This window comes from Homo sapiens, chromosome 3 (assembly GCF_000001405.40).
Source record: "Homo sapiens chromosome 3, GRCh38.p14 Primary Assembly".
Lineage (NCBI taxonomy): Eukaryota > Metazoa > Chordata > Mammalia > Primates > Hominidae > Homo > Homo sapiens.
Window position 1 is genome coordinate 93,913,736 of NC_000003.12, and position 23,714 is coordinate 93,937,449.

General features: G+C 38.2%; 1 protein-coding gene and 1 pseudogene across 2 annotated transcripts in view; both read right to left on the reverse strand.

The window, feature by feature from the left end:
- PROS1 (protein S) overlaps window positions 1–23,714 on the reverse strand; it is a 100,846-nt gene that overhangs the window by 40,685 nt on the left and 36,447 nt on the right. The window contains exons 2-4 of one of the 2 annotated variants that reach the window (NM_001314077.2): window positions 14,967–15,062; window positions 13,515–13,672; window positions 10,505–10,529 (exon numbers count right to left, since the gene is read on the reverse strand). In NM_001314077.2, the coding sequence (NP_001301006.1) occupies window positions 10,505–10,529; window positions 13,515–13,672; window positions 14,967–15,062 (279 nt within the window). The remainder of the gene's footprint in view (window positions 1–10,504; window positions 10,530–13,514; window positions 13,673–14,966; window positions 15,063–23,714) is intronic. The other variant, NM_000313.4, reaches the window with a different exon arrangement.
- HSPE1P17 (heat shock protein family E (Hsp10) member 1 pseudogene 17) lies at window positions 17,625–18,110 on the reverse strand (annotated as a pseudogene).

The window sequence follows — 23,714 nt, forward strand, 5'->3', positions numbered from 1 at the left end:
CCCCAATGTATTAACTCATACTAGCACCAACTCAAAAGTCCAAAGTCCAAAGTCTCATCTAAATCAGATATGGGTGAGACTCAAGGCATGATTCACCCTAAGGCAATTCCCACCAGCTATGAGTTTCCAAAATGCAATGAGATAAGCATGATAGACGTTTCCATTACAAAAAGGAAAAACAGGTAAGAACAGTAACTGGTCCTAAGGAAGTCCAAAACCCATTAAGAAAAACAACATAAAATGTTAAAGCTCTAATATAGTTTTCCTTGACTCTATGTCCTGACTTCTGAGCACACAGGGGTAGGGGCTGAGCCCTCAAGGTCTTGGCCAGCCCATCCCTATGGCTTTGCTGGGCGTAGGCCATGCTGCGGCTCTCACAGGTTGGAGTCTTGTGCCAGCAGCTCTCCCAGACAGAAGTTGCATACTGGTAGCCCTATAGTTCTGGGCTCTCGGGGCTTCCCAACTCCCATGGCTCCACTAGGCATTGCCCTGGTGGGGGCTCACTATAGTGGCTCTGCTGCTGTAACAAGTCTTTGCCTGGACACCCCCAGGCTGCCCATAATAACCTTTGAAATCTAGGTGGAGGCCACCTTGACCCCACAGCTCTTGCATTCTGTGCACCTGCAAAATTTACACCACATGAATGCCACCAAGGCTTATGAGGTATGTACATTCCAGAGTGGTGGGTTGAGATGCACCTAGGCCCACTTGAGCCATGGATGGGATGGCCAAGGGACACTGTGCTGAAATTCAAGCAGCAGAGTCCCTAGGTCGTGCAGAGCAGTGGTGGTCCTGCAGGTGCCCCTCTGGAAACTGCATCAAGGTCTTGCTCTGGGCCAGTGATGGGAGAGGCAGCTTCAAAAATCTCTCAAATGTCTTTGAGGTCTTTCGCCCATTGTTTTGAAAAACAGCACCTGGCTCCTTTTATTTATTTATTTATTTTAATTTCAACAGGTTTTGGGGGGAATAGGTGGTGTTTGGTTACATGTATAAGTAAGTTCTTTAATAGTGATTCCTGAGATTTTGGTTCATCCATTACCCAAGCAGTGTACACTGTACCCAATATGTAGTCTTTTATCTTTCACCCCACCTCCACCAGTTCTCCGAAGTCCCCAAAGTCCATTGTATTATTCTTAAACCTTTGCATCCTCATAGTTTAGCTCCCACTTATGACTGTGAACATACAATGTTTGGTTTTCCATTCCTGAGTTACTTCACTCAGACTAAAGAGCCCCTGGCTCCTTTCTATTCATGGTAGTCTCTTTGGGAAATGGTAACTTGGGACACACCCTTGGTTTGCTCTCCTAAAGACCTTTTCACTCTTTATATGACCAGGCTGCGAATTTCCCAAATATTTTTGCCCTGATTCCCTTTTAATTGTAAATCCAAGCTTTAAATCATTTCTCTTTTTCTCATATATTACTGTATGCAGTTAAAAGTAGCCACAAAGGCTGGGCACGGTAGCTCATACCTGTAATCCCAGCTCTTTGGGAGGCTGAGGCATGCAGATCACTTAAGGTAAGGAGTTTGAGGCTGCCTGGCAAACATGGCAAAATGCTGTCTCTACTAAAAATACAAAAATTATCCAGGTGTGGTGGCACACACCTGTAATCCTAGCTACTTGGGAGGCTGAGGTACAAGAACTGCTTGAACCTGGGAGGCAGAGGCTGCAGTGAGCCAAGATCACACCACTGCACTCCAGCCTGGATGACAAAGCAAGACTCTGTCTCTAAATAAATAAATAGATAAATAAATTAATGCAGCCACACAGTTCCTTCAATATTTTGCTTAGAAATCTCTGCTATCCTAGTACTTATCTCTTAAATTCAGCCTTCCCTACAGCCCTCAGGCATGGAGATAATTCAGCCAATTTCTTTGCTACCTTGTAACAATGTTGGTCTTTACTCTAGTTTCCAGTGCTTTGTTTCTCATTTCCATCTAGGATCTCATCAGAATGGGCTTTAGCATTCATATTTCTACCAACAATCTAATCATGACACTTAAGTAATCTCTAAGAAGTTACATTCTTTTCCTGCATGTCTTCTTTTTTTTTGACCCCTCACCAGAATCATCCTCAATGCTCCATTCACAGCAATCTAGGCTCTTCCTAGCCTGCTCCTCCAGATTCTTCCAGCCTTTAGCCATTACCCAGTTCCAAAACTGCTTCCATATTTTCAGGTATTTGTTATAGCAGCAACCCAATGTCTGGCACCAATGTTTCGTCTTAGGCCTTTTTGTATTGCTATAACAGAATACCACAGACTCAGTAATTTATAAAGAAAAAAATTATTTTTTACAGTTCTGGAGGCTGGGAAGTCCAATATTAAGGTGCTAATCATCTGGTAAAGGCCTTATTACAGCATCATCCCATGACAGAAGGTAGTAAGGCAAAAGGGTACAAGAGATAGAGAGGGGAAGGGAGCCAAACTCAGCCCCAGTAAAACCTAAGTAGTTTTAGGTCTCGAGTAGTCTTATCTTTGGTTCATTTGTCCTTCTTCTTGAATCATCTACTTTCAGACTTCATTTATTCTTGTGTGAAGACTTCATTAGAATCATCGTTTTTGAGAAAGCTTCATTTCGCATCTCTGGCAAATTTTACAGTGAATACAGCCAAAATTTGAAAGCTCTGAGGCTGGAGACCCAAGTGAAATGTTTCATATGAGTTTAGAACCCCAGGCCAGACTACATTAGCTTAAACACATAAGGCACATTATATAGAAGCCTACATTAATATTCATGATAATAATTTCATGGAAAAGTGTGTTCAGAATTACAGTGTGAAGAGCCATTTGCTTTGCTACTCCAAAGCAGTGTAATACAGAACCCTCATATTCCCACTTCTCTTTCTTACCACACAACAGGAATAGTAAAAATTGAGGAGGGTAAACAGGAAGGTGAAAGTTGGAGGGAGATTGTCTCTGCTTCTGTAAACTGATGCGGAAGCTCCCACAAGAAAAGGGATTAAAAACAGAAATTAGGACCACAGGAGAGAAAGGCTAAGAAACAGACCCTTTCAAGAGAGGTTCTGGTGGTCAAGGCATGACCTCTTAGGAAAAGATCTTGCTACATGTACCTTTACTTATATTTTTCACTATTAGTTTTATTAACAATCAAACTGGTTTCCTTTTGCCGCTTTCTATAGGCACCACTATCCTAGCTATCTTGATTTGTCAATTCTAAAAAATAGTTCAAACAGCCACTGACTCCTAGACAAAGGTTGTACTGGAATTATAATGGATCAAGAGTCAGGTAAATTTTTTATTTCTCTAAGAAACTACTTTATACCCCTCTGTCTTTAAGTCACAGAAGACGCATCACATAAAAGGCTGAATGTTTGCTTGTTTTGACTGGAGGAGCACAAGGCTGAGTTATTCATACCCCGCCCCTTTGACAGTATATTATGATCGCTGGTGTTTGAAAATCCCATTACTTGCTTTCAAAAAATACATACATATTCCTTTCTGTCTCCATTTCCTCCATTTCCACTTTCATTCACCCTTTAGGCAGTCATTCTAATGGGTTATGTGGTTTTTGTTTTTTTGTTTGTTTGTTTTGTTTTGTTTTTTGTTTCTTTGTTTTTTTCTTTGAGACAGAGTCTCTGTCGCCCAGGCTGGAGTGCAGTGGCACGATCTTGGCTCACCGCAACCTCCACCTCCTGGGTTCAAGTGATTCTTGTCCCTCAGCCTCCCCAGTAGCTGTGAGAGGTGACAGCGTGCTGGCAGCCCTTGCAGCCCTCGCTGCTCTGGGCACCTTTTCTGCCTGGGCTCCCACTTTGGCGGCACTTGAGGAGCCCTTCAGCCCACCACTGCACTGTGGGAGCCCCTTTCTGGGCTGGCCAAGCCCAGAGCTGGCTCCCTCAGCTTGCAGGGAGGTGTGGAGGGAAAGGCGCGAGGGGGAACAGCTGGAGTTCCTGGTGGGCGTGGGCTTGGCGGGCCGGCACTCGGAGCAGCCGGCCGGCCCTGCCAGCAGGGGCAATGAGGGGCTTAGCACCCGGGCCAGCAGCTGTGGAGGGTGTACTAGGTCCCCCAGCAGTGCTGGCCCACTGGCGCTGCGCTTGATTTCTCGCCAGGCCTTAGCTGCCTCCCTGCAGGGCAGGGTTCGGGACCTGCAGCCCACCATGCCTGAGCCTCCCCCGCCTCTGTGGGCTCCTGTGCCATGAAGCCTCCTTGATGAGCCCCACCCCCTGCTCCAGGGCGCCCAGTCCCATTGACCACCCAAGGGCTGAGGAGTGCGGGCACACGGCTTGGGACTGGCAGGCAGCTCCACCTGCAGCCCCAGTGCAGGATCCACTGGGTTAAGCCAGCTGCGCTCCTGAGTCTGGTGGGGCCTTGGAGAACCTTTATGTCTAGCTCAGGGATTGTAAACGCACCAATCCGCACTCTGTATCTAGCTCAAGGTTTGTAAACACACCAATCAGCACCCTGTGTCTAGCTCAGGGTTTGTGAATACACCAATTGACACTCTGTATCTAGCTAATCTGGTGGGGACGTGGAGAAACTTTGTGTCTAGCTCAGGGATTGTAAACGCACCAATCAGCGCCCTGTCAAAACAGACCACTCGCTCTATCAATCAGCAGGATGTGGGTGGGGCCAGATAAGAGAATAAAAGCAGGCTGCCCGAGCCAGCAGTGGCAACCCACTGGGTCCCCTTCCACACTGTGGAAGCTTTGTTCTTTCACTCTTTGCAATAAATCTTGCTGCTGCTCACTCTTTGGGTCCACACTGCCTTTATGAGCTGTAACACTCACCACGAAGGTCCGAAGCTTCACTCCTGAGCCAGCGAGACCACAAACCCAGCAGAAGGAAGAAACTCCGAACATCAGAAGGAACAAACTCCTGATACGCCGCCTTTAAGAACTGTAACACTCACCGCGAGGGTCGGCGGCTTCATTCTTGAAGTCAGTGAGACCAAGAACCCACCAATTCTGGACACAGCTGGGATTACAGGCCTCGCCACCACTCCTTCCTTCCTGGCTAATCTTTATATTTTTACAAGAGATGGGGTTTCATCATGCTGGTCAGGCTGGTCTCGAACTCCTAACCTCAAGTGAATCATCCTCCTCAGCCTCCCAAAGTGTTGGAATTACAGGCATGAGACATCATGCCCAGTGGTTATGTGTATTTTTAAAATTTGTAAGTGTTCTTGAAAATATATATTTACAATTTCATTTCCATGTTTTTTTTCACGTGTGTAAATGGTTTTGTGTTATATATCACATCCTCTAATTTTTTTCTCAGAACTTGATTTTTATGATCAATCCATGCTGCTACATATAATTCATTGCTACTAACCACTAAGTGTTACACCACAGTATGCAACCACCACTTTATAATTCTCTCTACCCATGATAAGACACTCAAATTACCTCCAACTTTCTACCTCTACAAGAAGGCGGAAAGTACATCCTCATGCATGTCTCCTTAGTACCTGCATAACAATTTCTTTGGAATAGATACCCAGTGGTGGAATTGTGTGATCATTAAATAGGAATGTACTTAATGGCTCTCAGAGGTGCATTCTCACCAGTGGAGTATAAGGATTTCTACATCCTTGCTTTCTAATTTTTGGCAGACTAATAGGTAGTAAAGTAATATCTCATTATTTTTCTGATTTCTAAGGAGAGGCAGCATATTTTCATGTCATTTTCCAAATCTGAAAGTTTTCTTCTTTGAAAATTTTCCCTATTTTTTTTTTTTACCATTTTTCTATTGATCCTTATTTGTTTTTCCTGCGGATTTGAAAAAAAATAAACATTTATAAATATCACCTCTTGATATTTATATTTTTGATATTTATTTGACAGAGACAGATCTGTCATTTGTCTCTTAATCTTACTATTCATGTCTCTCTTGTAAGATAAATTCTTAATTTTGTTATAATCCAATTTATTATTTCACCTTACAGCTTGTGAATTTAAAATTTTCCCCCATGTCATCAGTCACAAAGATATTCTCCCATATTGTTTCTTTAATTTCATGGTTTTATTTTAACATTTTTGTCTTTATTCCATCTAGAATTCACCTTTACACTTGGTGGTAATTAGAAACCCATGTTTATTTGTCTGCTAATAGCTGGCCATTCTTCGCAATACCATCTTTAAATAATCCACAGTGACTTACAGTATCATCTTTATCAAATATTAGGTTGTCATAGATATGAGCCTTTCTCTGAACTTTCTGTTCAGTTTCATGTTCTGAAAATACCATATAGTTTTATTTCTATAGCTTTATATTATTAATATTTGATAAGATATTTCTCTCTTTTGTATTTTAGACATGTGTGGACTTTTAGTTCCTCAGTTAAATTTTAAAATGAGTTTACTGAGTTTCTCAAAAATATTTTTTTAAACAAGATTGCTCTGAACATATAAATTTGAGGATGGCCACACATAGTACCTCACACCTATAACCCCAGCACTTTGGGAAGCCCTGGCAGGAGGACTGCTTGAGCCCAGGAGTTTGAGACCAGTGTGGGCAACATAGTGAGACCCCATCTCTAAAAATATAAAATATAATAAAATAAAATAAAATCAATTTGAGGAGAACTGATCACTGTATAGTATCACTCAATTCAAGATCATGAAATATCTTTCCATGGTTTTAATTCATTTTCTAAGTCTTCAATTTGAGTATTAACATTTTCTCCATAGGGTTTTTATGTGTTCTTAAGATATTTCTAGATATGTTATGGGATTTGCTGCTATTGTGAATGCTATCATCTTTTTAATTTCTACTAGACTACTGCTTGCATAAAGAACTACTATGGATTTTTATAGGAGAGTCATAGAATTATCTAAATACCTTATGTGTTCCTATATTTTGTCTATGGATTCTATTTTTTTCCAGTATTATATCTATTAAAAGTAATGACAGGAATATACTATAGCTTATGATCTATACAATCCCTATTTTTCTTTTCTTATTGCATTGAATGTAACCTCCAGTACTTTTCTTTTTGTTCTCAACCATAAAGAAACTATACCTAAATTTTATTCATTAGGTATAATGTTTACTGCAGATTTTGTTCACTTTCTTTTTCTTTTCTCTCTCTTTCTCTTTCCATCTCTCCCTCCCTCCCTCCTTTCTCATGCTAATTTGCTCAAAACAACCCTATCTTATTCTTGTTCTAGCTGACATTACCTTATGCATTATTAATCCTGAACTGAAGTGTGAAAATTTGGAAGATTAATTATATGGTTATTCTAGATTTAACCTTTATCAAGCTCAGAAACTTTTCTTATATTCTTAGTTTGACAAAAACTTTTATCATAACTAAGTAGTGATCTCTATCAACTGCTTTTTCTGTATGAACTGAGGTAATAATATACTTTTAGTGGTGGGGTCTTACTATGTTATCCAGGCTGGTATCAAACTCCTGGCCTCAAGTGATCCTCGCACTTCAGCCTCTTGAGTGGCTGGGATTACGGGCATAAGCCACTGCACCCAGCTGATTTCCTGATGTTAACTCACCTTTAAATTTCTGGAATAATTCTACTTGATCATGATATTATTTTTAACACACTTAAGATCGGACTGAATATCATTTTATTTAGAATTAATTCAAAATCAAAAGGAATGCTATTTTTCTTTTCTTTTATTCCCTCACTTAAATTTTAAAATGAGTTTACTAAATGTCTTTATTTGATTTTGGAGTCAAGATTACATAAGCCTCTTAGAATAAGCTCATTTTTTAAGGACAATATCTTAATAAGGGAAACATTAACAATTTCTTAAAATTTGGAAGAGTTCATTTGTAAAACCATCTGGATCTGGGTTTCGGGAGAAATAGGAAGAAGAGGGCTTTGGCTGCGGTTTTAACTTGTTTAATACTCGTTTGTATAACTAAGTTCTCTATTGCTTCCTGTGAAATTACAGATATTTTATGTTTTTCTAGGAACACATCCATTTTATTTAGGTTTCCAAGTGTATTTAATATAGCTGTTTGTAATATTTTATGATAATATTTTTAATCTGTGTTGAGTTTAGAATATTTTCCCTTTCTATCTTGTACTCTATGTATTGGCATTTCCTCTTTCTCTTTTTTGTTTTTCCTTGATTATTCCTGCCAGATGTCAGTCTCACTTACTAACCTTTTCAAAGAATGAGAATGTGCTTTTGTTAATGCTCACTTTTGTTTTTCTATTCCACTTATTTCTATCTCTGTTTTTGTTATTTTAAAACTTCTTGTTACTTGGGGTTTGCTCTATTGTATTTTTTGTGTTTGTTTTCTCAATTGGAAAGTTCATGTCATTTTTTAAATTATCAAATCTGTTTTGTCACTACTGCCTTGTCAGTTAGAACCCAATCCCCCACCACACATACCAGCAGGTCAGGCCAGCTTTTCGCCTACCCAGGCATTTCTTAAACTTCTTTTTGTCATTTTATTTTGTTATTATTAGTGCTTGGAATCTTATTGTTTCTTTAGAGAAGATTTGAAGGGAGGGAGTCAGCATTCTGAGGTAATTCACCAACTTATCTTAGAAACTAAAAATAATTTCTTTTTTTTATTTTTCAGGTTTTTTCCTTATTTTATTTTTTGCCAGCTCACATCAAAAAATGATTTCTAATGTTTATATTTAGGCTCAGAGTTCACCATTCTTCCCAGGAAGTTTCTCTCTCTTTACTAGAAACACTCACTCTATTAGGTGATACTAGGCCTATGGAAATGGTAGTTATTTATTCCACTTCTTACAAAAGAGAAGAACACAATTTAAAAACTATAATGAAACCCAGAGTACTTATTTCCAAATCGCATGTTTTCAAGATAGTACATGGAATATGTAGGCCAATTGAAGTGCTTTATCAGCCCCTGAAAACGAAGTCTAAATATTGCCCCAAATATATGGGTTACAATTTTTTAATTTCTTTGGTGACCTTATCTCACTACAGGGACCTTCCTGTATGAGCTGTTGTAGTTAGTAAAACTACTGTTAGATTTACCAGAGAAAGGACTGTTTTGTTTTGCTTTTCAAATTAGAGCCATTGGCCTATAGAATATACACATCAAATAACAAAAAAAGTGTAACTTAGGCAGGACATTTTTAAAAATTGTTTTTAACAGTGGAATTCACCACACATGCCTATATACAAATAAAGACCAAAATATGAAATTTAAATTAAAAAAAATCATAATAAAAAGTATATTTTTGTTTCACATGATGGGTTGATTAAACAAGAATACATCTGAAGAAATTTTGACACATTAAGTTATTTATGTACGTTGACATATTTGGTGATTTAAAAGCTCTGAAGTTAGAAAATATAGTTACAGTGCACACTTAAAACTACAGAAGCTGGAAAGCTAAACAACTTGTTTAATCTGAAACAGTTAAAAATTTTTAGGTCTGAGCCTGGATCCCACATCTTGTGTTTTTGTTTTAGTTTGTTTTATTTTATACTTTGGTTTTTTTTACCATGTTGCCAAATGAGATAGGCAAAGAGAAGAGTTGGGCAGGGCCAGAAAAGCGGAAGTTAAGAGAGATACAAGGATAAAATTATGAAAAATATTTTATCTAAGGAACTTCCCCAGAACACATAATGCTGTATTAGCATGGTATTTATCTTTATCCAAATGTACTCTGATCAAAGGAATGTATCCTCTACAGTATTGTGCGTGCAAAAATGCAGCCTCATTACATGGCCCTAAGAAGCAAGAGTTAACACTGTTTTTTTAATGTACACATAATATTTAACAGCCAAATATTGTCTATTTTTATTATAAAATATTTACATTTCTATCTAAAATTAAAAAGCTGAAATAGTCTTGATATACTATCTTTTCTACACTTTAATAGTACAAATTCTTGCATGTAACTTTACAAAAGAAAACATCTTTTTCATGGATATATCCATATCCCACTGCCCTTTTAAAATACAGCAGCTAAGGCTGGGCAGGGTGGGTCATGCCTGTAATCCTAGCACTTTGGGAGGCTGAGGAGAGTGGACACTTGAGCCCAGGAGTTCAAGACTACCCTGGCCAACATGGCGAAACCCTGTCTCTACTAAAAATACAAAAATTAGCTGGGTGTGGTGGCACATGCCTGTAATCCCAGCTACTCGGGAGGCTGAGGCACTTGAGAATCACTTGAACCAGGGAGACAGAAGTTGCAGTGAGCTGAGAGCAGGCCACAGCACTCCAGCCTGGGTGACACAGCAAGGCGCTGCCTCACAAAAAAAAAAAAACAGTTAACCCATGAAAACGCATATGCTCATAGACTATGTCTAGCACCTCAATATAACTGAGCATCAGCCCAAGAGCTTCATGAGAAAGACATGAGAAAGAAAAACACTAAAATTTAAAATGTCACATGGTAATTAAAGAACCGTTCCAAATTTCTCAACATGTGTTAAATATAAAGACAGCAAAATTGCATATAAAATGAAACCTCACTCCCAAGGATAATGAAATTACATTGGATGGAATAGATAGGTGGAGAGTTAGACAGGAACATATCTAAGTTCCCTTCCATTTCTAAGATTATATAATTGAGATGTTTTGAACTTACCTAAGTATTTTGGATAAAAATAATCCTAGAAAGAAGAAAAAGAAAACATATCTTAGCAAACCTAAATTTCATTATAGAGTTAAAACTTAATTTTATAATGTGTTTTTATATTAAAGATGCAAATAAGTTACATATAACCATCATTTTCACATTATAATTTTTATATAGTAAAATATACCAAGAGAAAACAATAAAATTAAGCCAGTAAGATACTTAGGCTTAAAGAAATATTGATCAATTAATCATGTTTCAAAAGCTTCTAATCTAAAAACAAGCTCTATTTAGGATGGTAAATATAATCATACATGCCCTTTTTTGTACATCCTTTAATTTTTCCATAATGATTAGATAACCATTTGACACATTTTATGTCATAATGGTCACCTACACCAGATTCAATGTTGAATCACAGTAACGTACTCTCTTTTTTTTTTTTTTTTTGAGACGAGGTTTCTCTGTGTCACCCATGCTAGAGTGCAGTGGTATGACCATGACTCACTGCAGCCTTACCCTCCTGGGCTCAAGTAATCCTCCCATCTCAGCCCCCCAAGTAGCTGGAACTACAGGTACATGCCACCATGCACAGCTGGTTTTTTGTTGTTAATTATTTTTTTGTAGAGATGGGGTCTCACTATGTTGCCTAGGCCTCAAACTCCTGGGCTCAAGCGATCCTCCCACCTTGGCCTCCCAAAGTGCTGGAATTACAGGTGTGAGCCAAGGTGCCCAGCTAACAGTGACATACTTTGAAGTGAATTAAAGTAGACATTTATCTTATACATCTTATGTACATGTAGTACCTTACCTATAAATTGGTTGTGTACCAAAAGTTTGTCTGTAAATCAGTCAATTTGGAGTAAAGAATGTGCTTTCTTAAAAAGAGAAAAATGTTAAAAATTTCTGATAGTAAGGTTCTCAGGCTAGTCCACAAAAGCATTCTTAAGCCATAATATATCTAATGTGTACCATTAACAGCACAAGAATACCTCATGAGAAACCAGAATTTCTACACAAAGACATATTCAATGTTACCACTTAGTAAGTACAGAACATAAGCTCATCCAGAACTGAGTCAAAGGCCTCATTCTTTCCTCCTCTCATATAAACCTACACAATAGATAATGGGATTCAAAGGTGATATTGCGACCGTCAAAGGAATATATTAGAGATGTTGAGGCATAAGTAGTACTGTGGGGACTGGAAATGTGGACTGTGGTATTAGGGATGTGGACAGGGAGTGGTTGGGTAGGGTCGAAAATGATCACACCTGTAATCATGAGAATTGTAACACAGTAACAAATGTTTGGTGGGGGTGGGGCAGAGGGATCACTGTGGTCACACGTGTAATCCTAGCACTTTGGGAGACTAAGGTGGGCAGATTGCTCGAGCCCAGACTGGGCAACATGGCAAAACGCCCTCTCGACAAAAAATACCAAAATTAGCCAGGTGTGGGGCTGCACACCTGTAGTCTCAGCGACACAGGAGGCTGAGACGGGAGGATTGCCTGAGCGGGGGGGTCAGGGCTGCAGTGAACCATGATCATGCCACTGCACTCTAGCCTGGGCAACAGAGCAAGACCCTGTCTAAAAAAAAAAAAAAAAAAAGTAACTTTTTTTTTCATTTCTCCCCTTTCTGTCTTGCTCTTTCTGTCATTTTTTTCTCTTCTGTCAATGAGACCAATGCTAGAATTAGTGGAAGGGAGGAAGCACATGAATGAGTTTTCCTTCCTCACTATCTTTCCTCCTCCACATCAAGGTCTTCTCCCTCACTGGGCTTTTGCTGCTTAGAGGCTAAGCTGATAGAATGTATCCATTGTGTTAGAAATACACACTCAATATTAATGAGTGATGTACTAATATGGTATCTTGGGCAGACAGGCATGCCTTACAATATTCCAGAATAACAAAACAAAAATTAGAATGGATGGGGAAAAAAATAGGTAAAACAAGAATGGCAGAGTGTTGATTATTATTAAAGGGGTGGGGGAGTTTTTATAATGAAATGTATTACACTGATCTCTCTACTTTGAGATCTATTTAAAATCTATTTAAAATTTCAATATTAGATGATACCTACAATTGTGACTTAAAATCTTTCATGTAAAGTAACAGTGGGCCGGGCGCAGTGGCTCATGCCTGTAATCTCAGCACTTTAGGAGGCCAAGGCAGGTGGATTGCTTAAGCCCAGGAGTTTGAGACTTGCCTGGCCAACATGGCAAAACCCCGTCTCTACTAAAAATACAAAAATTAGCCAGGCATGGTGGCATACGCCTCTAATCCCACCTACTCAGGTGGCTGAGGCATGAGAATCTCTTGAACCCGGGAAGTGGGGGCTACAGTGAGCAGAGATTGCACCACTGCACTCTAGCCTGGGCAACAGAAAGAGACTTTGTTTCAAAAAATAAAAATAAAAATAAATGCCAATGGAGAAATTTAATGAAGCATTGTAATAATAATCCAAACTAGCATGCATGCGTGCGCGCGCACACGCACACACACACACGTTAATACTTCAGACATCCTTTCCCCTCCCTCTAACACTATCAAATTCTGGTTAGAAGAAAATATTTGCAAACCATGAGGTCAATACTATTTGCTGATAATGAAGTGTAACTGAACTATAGTTTAGTCAGAACAAGCTGTTATTGGTGATCATGTCTGCCTAAAAAGCCCATTTTCCTTTAAAGGTACTTCCTCTCCCCTCCCCCTAACACTATCAAATTCTGGTTAGAAGAAAATATTTACAAACCATGAGGTCAATACTATTTGCTGATAATGAGGTGTAACTGAACTATAGTTTAGTCAGAACAAGCTGTTATTGGTGATCATGTCTGCCTAACAAGCCCACTTTCCTTTGAAGGTACTTCCTCCTGAAATGGAAGTGGTTATGTGTGGAAGGTGATACACAGAATTATTGACTTTAAGATGGAACAGAAGGAAGTACAGGCTGGAAATGTTCAGTCTGTAGTTGTATGTCTAGATGTGTGAACTTGATAGTTTCCATAAATGCTTACCGTTTCCGGGTCATTTTCAAAGACCTCCCTGGCTTCTTCTTTATTGCACAGTTCTTCGATGCATTCTCTTTCAAGATTACCCTGTTTGGTTTCTTCAAGTAAAGAATTTGCACGACGCTTCCTAACCAGGACTTGTGAAGCCTGTTGCTTTGACAAAACTGAAGGAAACAATCAGTTTATATGAATTAATCATTTTTCCATGTAAAATATATTGTTTTATTAAACAATAAGAGTTAAAATCATTTTCTGCCTATGAATTGTATGACATTTAAAATCAGTATGATCGAACTAAGAAAAAAATGCAGATACAGAAGCACGTTGGTTAACAATTCAGAGAGCGGGTTTGGTGTGCAGCTGCAGCCCTTGTATGATGGTCTACACAAATTATTCAGGTTTATACTTGAGGTTAAACACACCAGATAATATTCAATACTTCCTTTATTATGACTACATCAGAGAAAACATGCTGAGGCCAGGTGTGGTGGCTCACCTTCGTAATCCCAGCACTTTGGGAGGCTGATGTGGGAGGTCCACCTGAACCCAGGTGGTTCAAACCCAGCCTGGGCAAAATAGTGAGACCCCATTTCTACAAAAAACAAACATATATATATATATATATATATATGTGTGTATGTGTATATATATATATATGTGTGTGTGTGTGTATATATATATGTGTATATATATATGTATATATATATACTTGTGTATATATATATGTGTGTATATATATGTGTGTGTGTGTATATATATATATATATATTTTTTTTTTTTTTTTTTTTTGAGACGGAGTCTCGCTCTGTCGCCCAGGCTGGAGTGCAGTGGCATGATCTCGGCTCACTGCAACCTCTGCCTGCCAGATTCAAGTGATTCTCCTGCATCAGCCTCCTGAGTAGCTGGGATTACTAGAATGCGCCACCACATAAAAAATATTAATTGTTCATGGTGGTATGCACTTATAGTCCTTGCTACCTGGGAGGCTAAGGCGGGAGTGCCACTTGAGTGCAGGAATTCAAGGTTACAGTGAGCTGTGATCATACCACTTCACTCCAGCCAGTAAGACCCTCATTCTAAAAAAAAAAATCTGAAAAAAAAGAAAAAACATGATGAAATGCCTATGTCAAAAGCCATAGTCTTAGCCAGGCCTGGTGGAACATGCCTGTAATCCCAGCTATTTGGGAAACTGAGACACGAGAATCATTTGAACCAGGGAGCCAGAGGTTACAGTGAGCTGAGATCCTGCCACTGCACTCCAGCCTGGGCAATAGAGCAAGACTCTGTCTCAAAAAAAAAAAAAAAAAAGCCATACCATCTTTAAAGCAAGAGTAATAAACTTTCTCAATTTTAATGAAAAACCTTTGTGATCTCTGTGGAGATTGTTGTTGAACAGCAACAATAAAAATAACATAACAAAGTTCAATATCAAGCAACAGACTGGAGGAAAATACTTACAGCATATAGAATAGAAAAAATTGCATCCAGATAAGCCGACCAATACAGAAATGCATGCACGGTTGTATATAAAATCATTTCTAAAATATAAACAAACTATAAAGAAAACAATATAAACAATCATATAAACCATCACTACAGAGAATAAACGGGAAATAAACATTATAAAGTGTTCAAATCAAACTATTTTAAAAATTATATTTTTGCATATTAGACTGGCAAAACTTTAAAAGAATGATAATATCAATTATTGGTGAGAGTAAGGGAAAACATGCATTCTTGTACACTGGTAGTGGAGCATAAACTGGCAGGTTTTATTTGAAGGTATTTTGGTAAAATTTAAAGCACATATACTCGTCATCTCAACAACTCTGATTCTAAGTATGTCCTACATATATGCCCATGTGCTGGAAAAAATAGAATTGTTTATTGAAAGACTGTTTGTGAGATCAAAAAATTAAAAATGACTTAAATATCTATCAAGAGGGGCACAGGATCAGGCACGGTGGCTCATGCCTGTAATCCCAGCACTTTGGGAGGCCAAGGCAGGAGGATCACTTGAGCCAAGGAGTTCAAGACCAGCCTGGATGACAAAGAGAGACCCCACATCTCCAAAAAATTTTAACAATTGTCCAGGTGTAGTGGTGCACACCTGTAGTCCCAGCTAGTCAGGAGGCTGAGGCAGGAGGATCACTTGAGCCTGTGGGGGGTCAAGGCTATAGTCAGCTATGATCACACCACTGCACTCCAGTGTGGGTGACAGAGCAAGACCCTGACTTAAAAAAAAAAGAGGGGAATGGAAATAAAAGCTATAATAAACCCGTACTGTGGAATAATATGCAGTTGCTAAAAGGAAGATACTCTTGTACTGGAGATCTCAAAGATACAGTAAGTTAAAATGCAAGTTGTAAAATGCCACACTCATAGCATAATTCTCTACAAATCAGCTAAAGTAGTATATATGTAAATATCATGTGGAAAAATACACAGAAAAGAGTTTGGAAAGACAAACTGCTAATACAACAATTATATTTGGAGAAAAGTATGGAGAGTGTCGAGTTTTGGTTTATTATTTTAGCATGTTAATACAGCTTTTTAATGAAAAATGTAAAAAACATAAATAAAATCTGCAAGTAACTTTTTTCCTGATCTTAACCACAAATGGTTCTTTCACTAAGAAGATAAACAAGTAATATAAATGTCTGAATTTCTTTCCCTTTTCTTGTCTCTTATTACCTGGTAAACAATAAGCAATAAATACTCAAAAGTTGACAATAGAAGAAAGAAAAAAGCAAAAAGATTTATCAACAGTTACTATATTTATCAGTTAAGTAACTAAAAAAATCTTTCAAGAGTGAAGTAATATTACTTTATTTCTCTGACTTGCCAAAGCAGAGGTTTAAATGTAATGGATAAATAAATAAATTGTTTGGGTTAGATTTGTAACCCTATCTCTTGACATGTTTATCATGCTCATTAAAATAGAGATTAAGTCAAGGCAGAACGTATATAAAAGATGGTACTCTGTGATCATGCTATCTGCCAAGTGTGTTATTGACTTATCAATGACAGTCCTGTCAACAGTGAAAGAGCCTGACGTGGGCAATTATCTCATTTATTTTAAGTAGTTTTACGCATGCTAGTTTGTAATAAATACAGCAAAAAATTTGGACTTTTTGAACTTTACAGCAACTATGTGATTCTTTCTGGGGAAAACAATAACACTTTCATTGAAGGGTGAATACACTGATTCAATTTTAAAAATCAAGGTTAAATGCACTTAGGAAATAAAGCTCCATATATATTCACTTCTTGGCATTTTTTCCTTACACAATATTAACTTTTGGAATTAGGAGTTTGATAGTGATTTTTAAGAACATCTCTTTCCCCGTATGGGCCCCAACTAAAGGGTACAAAGCAGGTGTAATAACACATACTGTATTCATGCTTGTGAAAGCAAAGGTCTAAATCACCCAGAATAGCCAAGGTTTTTGAGTTCTTGGGAATGTCCACTTAAGTTTATAAAAGTAAACATAACCACCTTTATTATTTAAGAGATGATGAAACTCAGGTAAAAAGCATGCAACATATTTTTCCATAATTGTAAAGTGAATAAACAACAAAACTACAGCTAGATCATAGGCATCCCAACTCTCAGACCTGCAATCCATTGTTTATTGTCTGCTGCTTTTCAAAAATCAGGAAGTTTTATTGTCTCAATTGTTGAGAGGAATATTAAAAAAACAAAAACTGTTATGCTTCTGTCCTACAGGAAAATTAAGCTAACAACAACAAAAAATTTTGTCTAAATATATTTGCACTAAATTTGGATTTCATCTAGTTCAGCCCAACAATGCTTTACATTGGTATGATACATAACAATGTTCAAAGCACGAATTAATTATTTCATTTGATTTTCACATGCTGAAATAAACTATCAGACAGAATTATCATCCCTATTTTCCTATTGAAGAAATTGAAGCTGAGAGAGGTGACATGATTTGCTACGAGTTGTGCTAATGGAATTCAAATATACCCATCCCCTTAGCCCAGTGCTCTTTTCTTGAGTGTATTCTGCTACTCAAATGTCCATGATGTACCTGATTTAACTTTTTTCATTTACATATTTTTATTTGGAAATGTGTTTATCAATACAGTGAAACTAAATTATAGAGACACTGATGTCATTAGTTTAGATATAATTACTTTATAATAAAAGACATAGTAATTAACATATGATGTACGATTTTAGAACTTCAGTGGAATGGGCAGCTTCATGTTGATGCCATTTCAACAGTGAATTATTTCAGTCTACCTACTTTCCAAGAATGTCACCATCTCTAAATAAAAAAATAATGCTTGTGGTCTAGAATTACTTTGGTGCCTCCATATTCTGAGAGAAGTACTTTATCTCCAGCTTTCACACTGACTGCTTGAATCCCTTTCCTTTAGGGCCCAATCGGACAGCTACTACTGTTGCTTGCAATACTTTTCCTGAGACTTTTCTGGAAGCATAATGCCTTCTTTGGTTACGGTTTTGGCTGCACCACTTTCAGCCAAAGAACACTCGGTCAAAGAGCAGAAGAAACTTTCTACGTGTTTGGTCTCCCATGACTCCCGCTGCCACAGCTCATACTCTGCTCTTGCACAACTGCCATGAGCTGACTTTAATTTTTGTAAAAGAAATTATGTGGTTGTGCAGTGGATAAGGTCACTATCTTAAATAATTAGCTGTCCTTTACAAAATAAACCCATCCATCTAAGAGAATGGCTTTTGAAGCAGTCTACTGCTTCTTGCCAGAAAGATACAGGCATGACATCATGAACCCAAATTAAAACTACAGGACTGTTGGATGAGACAAGCATGGGGTTTGAAGTGCTTTCAGCAATTGGCTCAAAGTTCTTCTGCCCAAAAATATTCACCCTGCTGACATGCAGCAATATCTAAAAGTTCCATTATTTACCATAATAACCATGACATATGAGCACATAAATGCTGTTTTACATTATCTCCTTTAATCTGAATCATAACTGTTCTAAGTAGATTAAAATTTTCCGTTTTATATATGAATAAGCTAAAATTTAAAGTTGAGTTAATTTTAGCAAGTTCCCACAGCTGAGAACACAGACAACCAGCATCCAAACCCTGTCCTCTTTTTGTATTAGCACACTGTCCCTTACTCATTTGTTTCACTTCTTTATATTAAGAAGTATCTCAAGAAAGTCCTTGTTAAAACCCAACTATGTTGCTTGAAAAGTGTTACATTCAGATTCAAAATTTTAGGTTATAATGTGGAGTTTATGAGTCTTTCAAGATAAGAAGTACAACTGAGTCAACTTGATTTTTTTAACTTATCTGAGTCACTCCTTCAAAATAATGACCAAAGCAGGTGGAACAATTATGACAATAATAAAACCATTGTGCAAACATGAACTGGAATTCTCTTTGAAATTGTATTCACAGCCTTCATATGTTCTCTTCATGTGGGGGGTAAGTCTTTGTTTTTTGAGTGTAAATTTGATTGACTTACCTCCAAAAAATAATTTATTGTTATTGGTTTCATAAGAGCCCCTGTAATGACAGTGATGCTAGCACTCCCTCTGCTAATGCCACCCTCTGTTCAAGGAGGGCAGGACCAAAGGTCTGCAGGTTGTCCAAAACTGATCAGTCAGGTTAAGGATGAGGTGGCAGATGGAGGAGCATCCAGGTTTTAGGATAGCTTATCCTCTGAAGCTCTTCCATTTTGCTCCCTTGTTTTTTTGCAAAGATGGTTCTCACATTCTTCCCTCCAAAAGCTCATCTCTCTTTTAGTTCTGCTTTCCATCTCTCTTTTCCCTAGGCTCTTCTTATTTGGCATCTCATAAATGAAAAATTGCCCTTGAAAGAATGTTTCTGAGAAGAGAGTCTTTGGCTAGCACTTGGGTTGGCCAAGTATTTTTATCTTTGTGTGGGCTTCAGTGTTGGATGAGGTGAAGGAAAATGGCTTTCACTTTACAAATATAGAGAACCACCAGTTGATACTTTGAGACATAACTGTGCTTCACAAGTCTCAATTGATGAAACAGTATATTTTGTTTAAACCAAGACTGAGGCTGGGTACTGTGGCTCGCACATGTAATCCCAACACATTGGGAGGCTGAGGTGGGAGGATCCCTTAAACCCAAGAGTTTGAAACCAGCCTGGGCATCATAGGGAAACACCATCTCTACAAAAAATTTAAAAAGTAGCTGGGCATGGTGGCGCACACCTGGAATCCCAGCTACTTGAGAGGCTGAGGCTGAAGGATCGCTTGAGCCCAGAAGGTTGAGGTACAGGGAGCCCCGAATGTGTCACTGCACTCCAGCCTGGGTGAAAGCACAAGACCTTGCCTCAAAAAAAAAGAAAAAAAAAGCCTGAGAAAAAAGAATTGCATATATTATTTAAAAAATTAATTAATAATGGGCTGGCGTGGTGGCCCACACCTGTAATCCCAACACTCTGGGAGGCCGAGGTGAGCTGATCACTTGAAGTCAGCAGTTCGAGACTAGCCTGGCCAACATGGTGAAATGCAATCTCTACTAAAAATACAAAATTTAGCCAGGACAGATCACGAGGTCAGGAGTTTGAGATCAGCCTGGCCAATATGGTGAAACCCCGTCTCTACTAAAAATACAAAAATTAGCTGGGCACGGTGGTGCGTGCTTGTAACCCCAGCTACTCAGGAGGCTGAGGCAGAAGAATCACTTGAACCCAGGAGGCGGAGGGTGCAGTGAGCTGAGATCGTGCTGCTGCACTCCAGCCTGGGCGACAGAAAGAGACTCTGTCTCAAAAAAAAAAAAAAAAAAAAATTTAACCAGGAGTGGTGGTGGGCACCTCTAATCCCAGTTACTCAGGAGGCTGAGGCAGGAGAATCACTTGAACCCAGGAGGCGGAGGCTGGAGTGAGCAGAGATTGCGCCACTGCACTCCAGCCTGGGTGACAGAGCAAGACGCCATCACATTAAAAAAAAAAAGGCTAGTTAATAATGGTAAAAAAATAATAATAATAATGGTAAAAATGGCTGTATATTCAAAAATGTATTTAAAATAATTACATTAACTATAAAATACTTCAGTTATTTTTCATAAAGATTTCTACCACAGAAAATTTCCAACTGGAGGAAAGAAGCAATTGAAAAAATGTGAAGGTTGCCAGGATTAAGGAAAACTCAAAGATGGGTTTTTATGTAGGGATTCACCAACTATTATCCTTGCTTTTCTCTAGATTTTATATTTTGTATCACATTGAGGATTATGCTGCTATGCAACGATTTCTTCTCATATTGTGTTAAGGGTTGGAATGGGTTAAAGAACATTCTGTAATGAACTGTATCTAGGTCTTTTTGAAGGACTGAACAAATACTGACTGATGAGAAATACTTTACTAGAGTCAAAGATCATTAAGAGATAGGTGTGGATAAAGATTTAAATCCAGGGAGAGAAAAAGAAGAAGTAATCTGTGAATGAAATGTTACACATATAAAGGCGAGTTCTAAAACATTAAGGATAGGGGAGTGTAGGCTGGCATTTATTTAGAAGTAGAAAAGCCACTGGTGGAATTAAAAAAAAAATGTGACCATTGACCCTCCATTCTGGAACAGATCATTGAATGAGTACAGGAGCAATGCCTGAACTGTTTAACAACAACAGAAGTGAAACGGACCTCTCCTTACACCAAGATTTAATTATAACTTCAATTTACAGCCCCTTTCTAGGAAAAAAAAAAAAAGTCACTCTGGCGTTGTTTCCACAGATTAAAACCTTTGATTAACTAGACAGAGAAAGCAGTACACGTTAGTTATTCCCTCCAAACAGCAAATATCTTTACTCGAATGATAGAATACACGGCTTTATTACCCAGAAAAAAAGTTACACTGGCCATTTCTTTTATTTGAATTGTTTGTTCTTGGTCAGTGATCAATGAAGATGCTTCATTGAAGGGATTCAAGAGCTCAGATGTTGGCAAGGATAAAGAAGGAATTTTCTACAACTCTATTTTTTTTCTCCTGACTACTAGATTGCAAACTGGTTATGTTTCCTAATGCTACAACAGGAGGTCTTTTTCATGACATGCAGCAAGATAGTCCCACACTCAGCTTTCATTGTCTTTTTTATCTCCTACCCACTAGGACCCCAAAACATCATTTGATTTTGACATCATGCACCAAGAAGTTACTGCACAGAAAATGTTTTGTTTTTGTTCTATTTGACTTATTTTGTTACAATTACATCAATATATTAGTTCTGTGGCCTGGGTCTGTACTTATGTTTGGAAAAGCAACAGGCAAAGTGTTCCTGGACACTTAAAAAGGCAACAGTAAAATAATTCTCCTAATTTTGCAATATCGCCCTACTTGCAATAGCCCCTAGATCCCTGAAATAAGCAAGTCTGAAACTGTGCTTAGAGGCTTAGAAGGATTTCAGATATCAATGGCATTCCTTTGACTCTTAGGATATAATTTATTTTTTAAAGTGCTTATTTGCAAGTGAGATTACTTGGAATATTGGTATATCGTCAAGTGAGTCTTTCTAATTCAATGGTTTCTACCAGCATCTCAGAACCCTCTGTCAAATAACCAAAAGGCTTTAAGACACAGTCTAAATAACAGTGAAATAAAACAATAACTCATTAAGGAAAGGAGAGAATATCATTGGGCTAAGGAATCAAGGAAAAAAATAAAAATAAAACAAGCAGAAAGGAAAGAGGCAGTTAACATAGAAACTCAAGTCCACATTAAAAAAAAAAAAAAAGTCAGCCACAGACAAAATGAAAAAACTACTGTTTTTTTTTTCATAGTAAGTAAAATGATAAAATAAGCATTTTCATTGTACTTGGCAAGGTGTTATGGACTGAATGTGTCCCCATCTCCCCCCCACACCCCTTCCCCGCTCCAAATTCATATGTTGAAGCCCTAACACCCAGTGTGGCTATATTTGGAGACAGGTCCTTTAAGGAAGTAATTAAGACTAGATGGGGTCATAATGTGACCCCCTAAGATTAGTGAACCAAAAAATGGCAATAATAGACTCTGATGACTATTAAAGGGGGAAGAGAGGGAAAAGAGTTGAAAAACTAACTGTTGTTTGCTATGCTCACTATTTGGGTGACAGGATCATTTTGCCCCAAATCTGAGCACCACGTAATATGCCCATGTAACAAACCTGCACATGTATCCCCTGAATCTAAAATAGAAAGTTGAAATTATATAAATAAATAAATATAAAAGCAATAATAATAATAAAGGATTAGTGTCCTTATAAGAAGGGACTCAGGGGAGTTCTCTATAGCTCTGTTGTGCTTTCTCTATCCCCTGTGCACACACCAAAGAAAGGCCATCTGAGTAGCCAGCGAGAAGGCAGCCATTTGGAAGCCAGGAAAAAAGCCTGCACCAGAAACTGAGTTAACTGAACTTAATATTGGACTTTCTAGACTCCAGAACTGCAAGAAAATAAATTTCTATGGTTTAAGCCATGAACTCTGTGTTGTTTTGTTGTAGCAGCCTGAGCAGACTAATACACAAGGCAAGTTAGTCATGGACTATTTCTAGCTGCTCTGTAAAGGCATACAAAGTGATGCTTATGGTTAATGATGGCAGAGAGTATTTATGGCTTCTCCCTCTAGGACCACATAAAAATGATATTAAGATAAATGTTTAAAAATTTTAAGGAGTAAGAGAATTTTTAAAAACATGTTTTTTGTTTAAAAAATATACAAATTGACAGCATGGTAGGGGTCATTATTAAATAAGTGATTTCATCAAATTCTCCAAGCTGGAAAGCTGATGAGAACCTGTTGGTGAATAAACAAGGGACAGGAAGAGTTGATCCGTAGCAGGACGAGCCACAGACAAAACCTCTCAGACACCGAGTTGTAGAAGGAAGGGCTTTATTCAGCTGGGAGCATCAGCAAGCTACTGCCTTAAAATCCGAGCTCCCTGAGTGTACAGTTTCTGTCCCTTTTAAGGGCTCACAAGACTAAAGATTTCACATGAAAGGGTCGTGATTGATTTGAGCAAGCAGGCAGTACGTGACAGGGGCTGCATGCACCAGTGGTCAGATTGAAACAGAACAGAGCAGGGAGTTTCACAGTGTTCTTTTACACAATGCCGGGAATCTATGGATAACATTGGTTTCTAAGTCATGAGTTGATTTTTTTTTTTTTTTTTGAGATGGAGTCTCACTCTGTCGCCCAGGCTGGAGTGCAGTGGCATGATCTCTGCTCACTGCAAG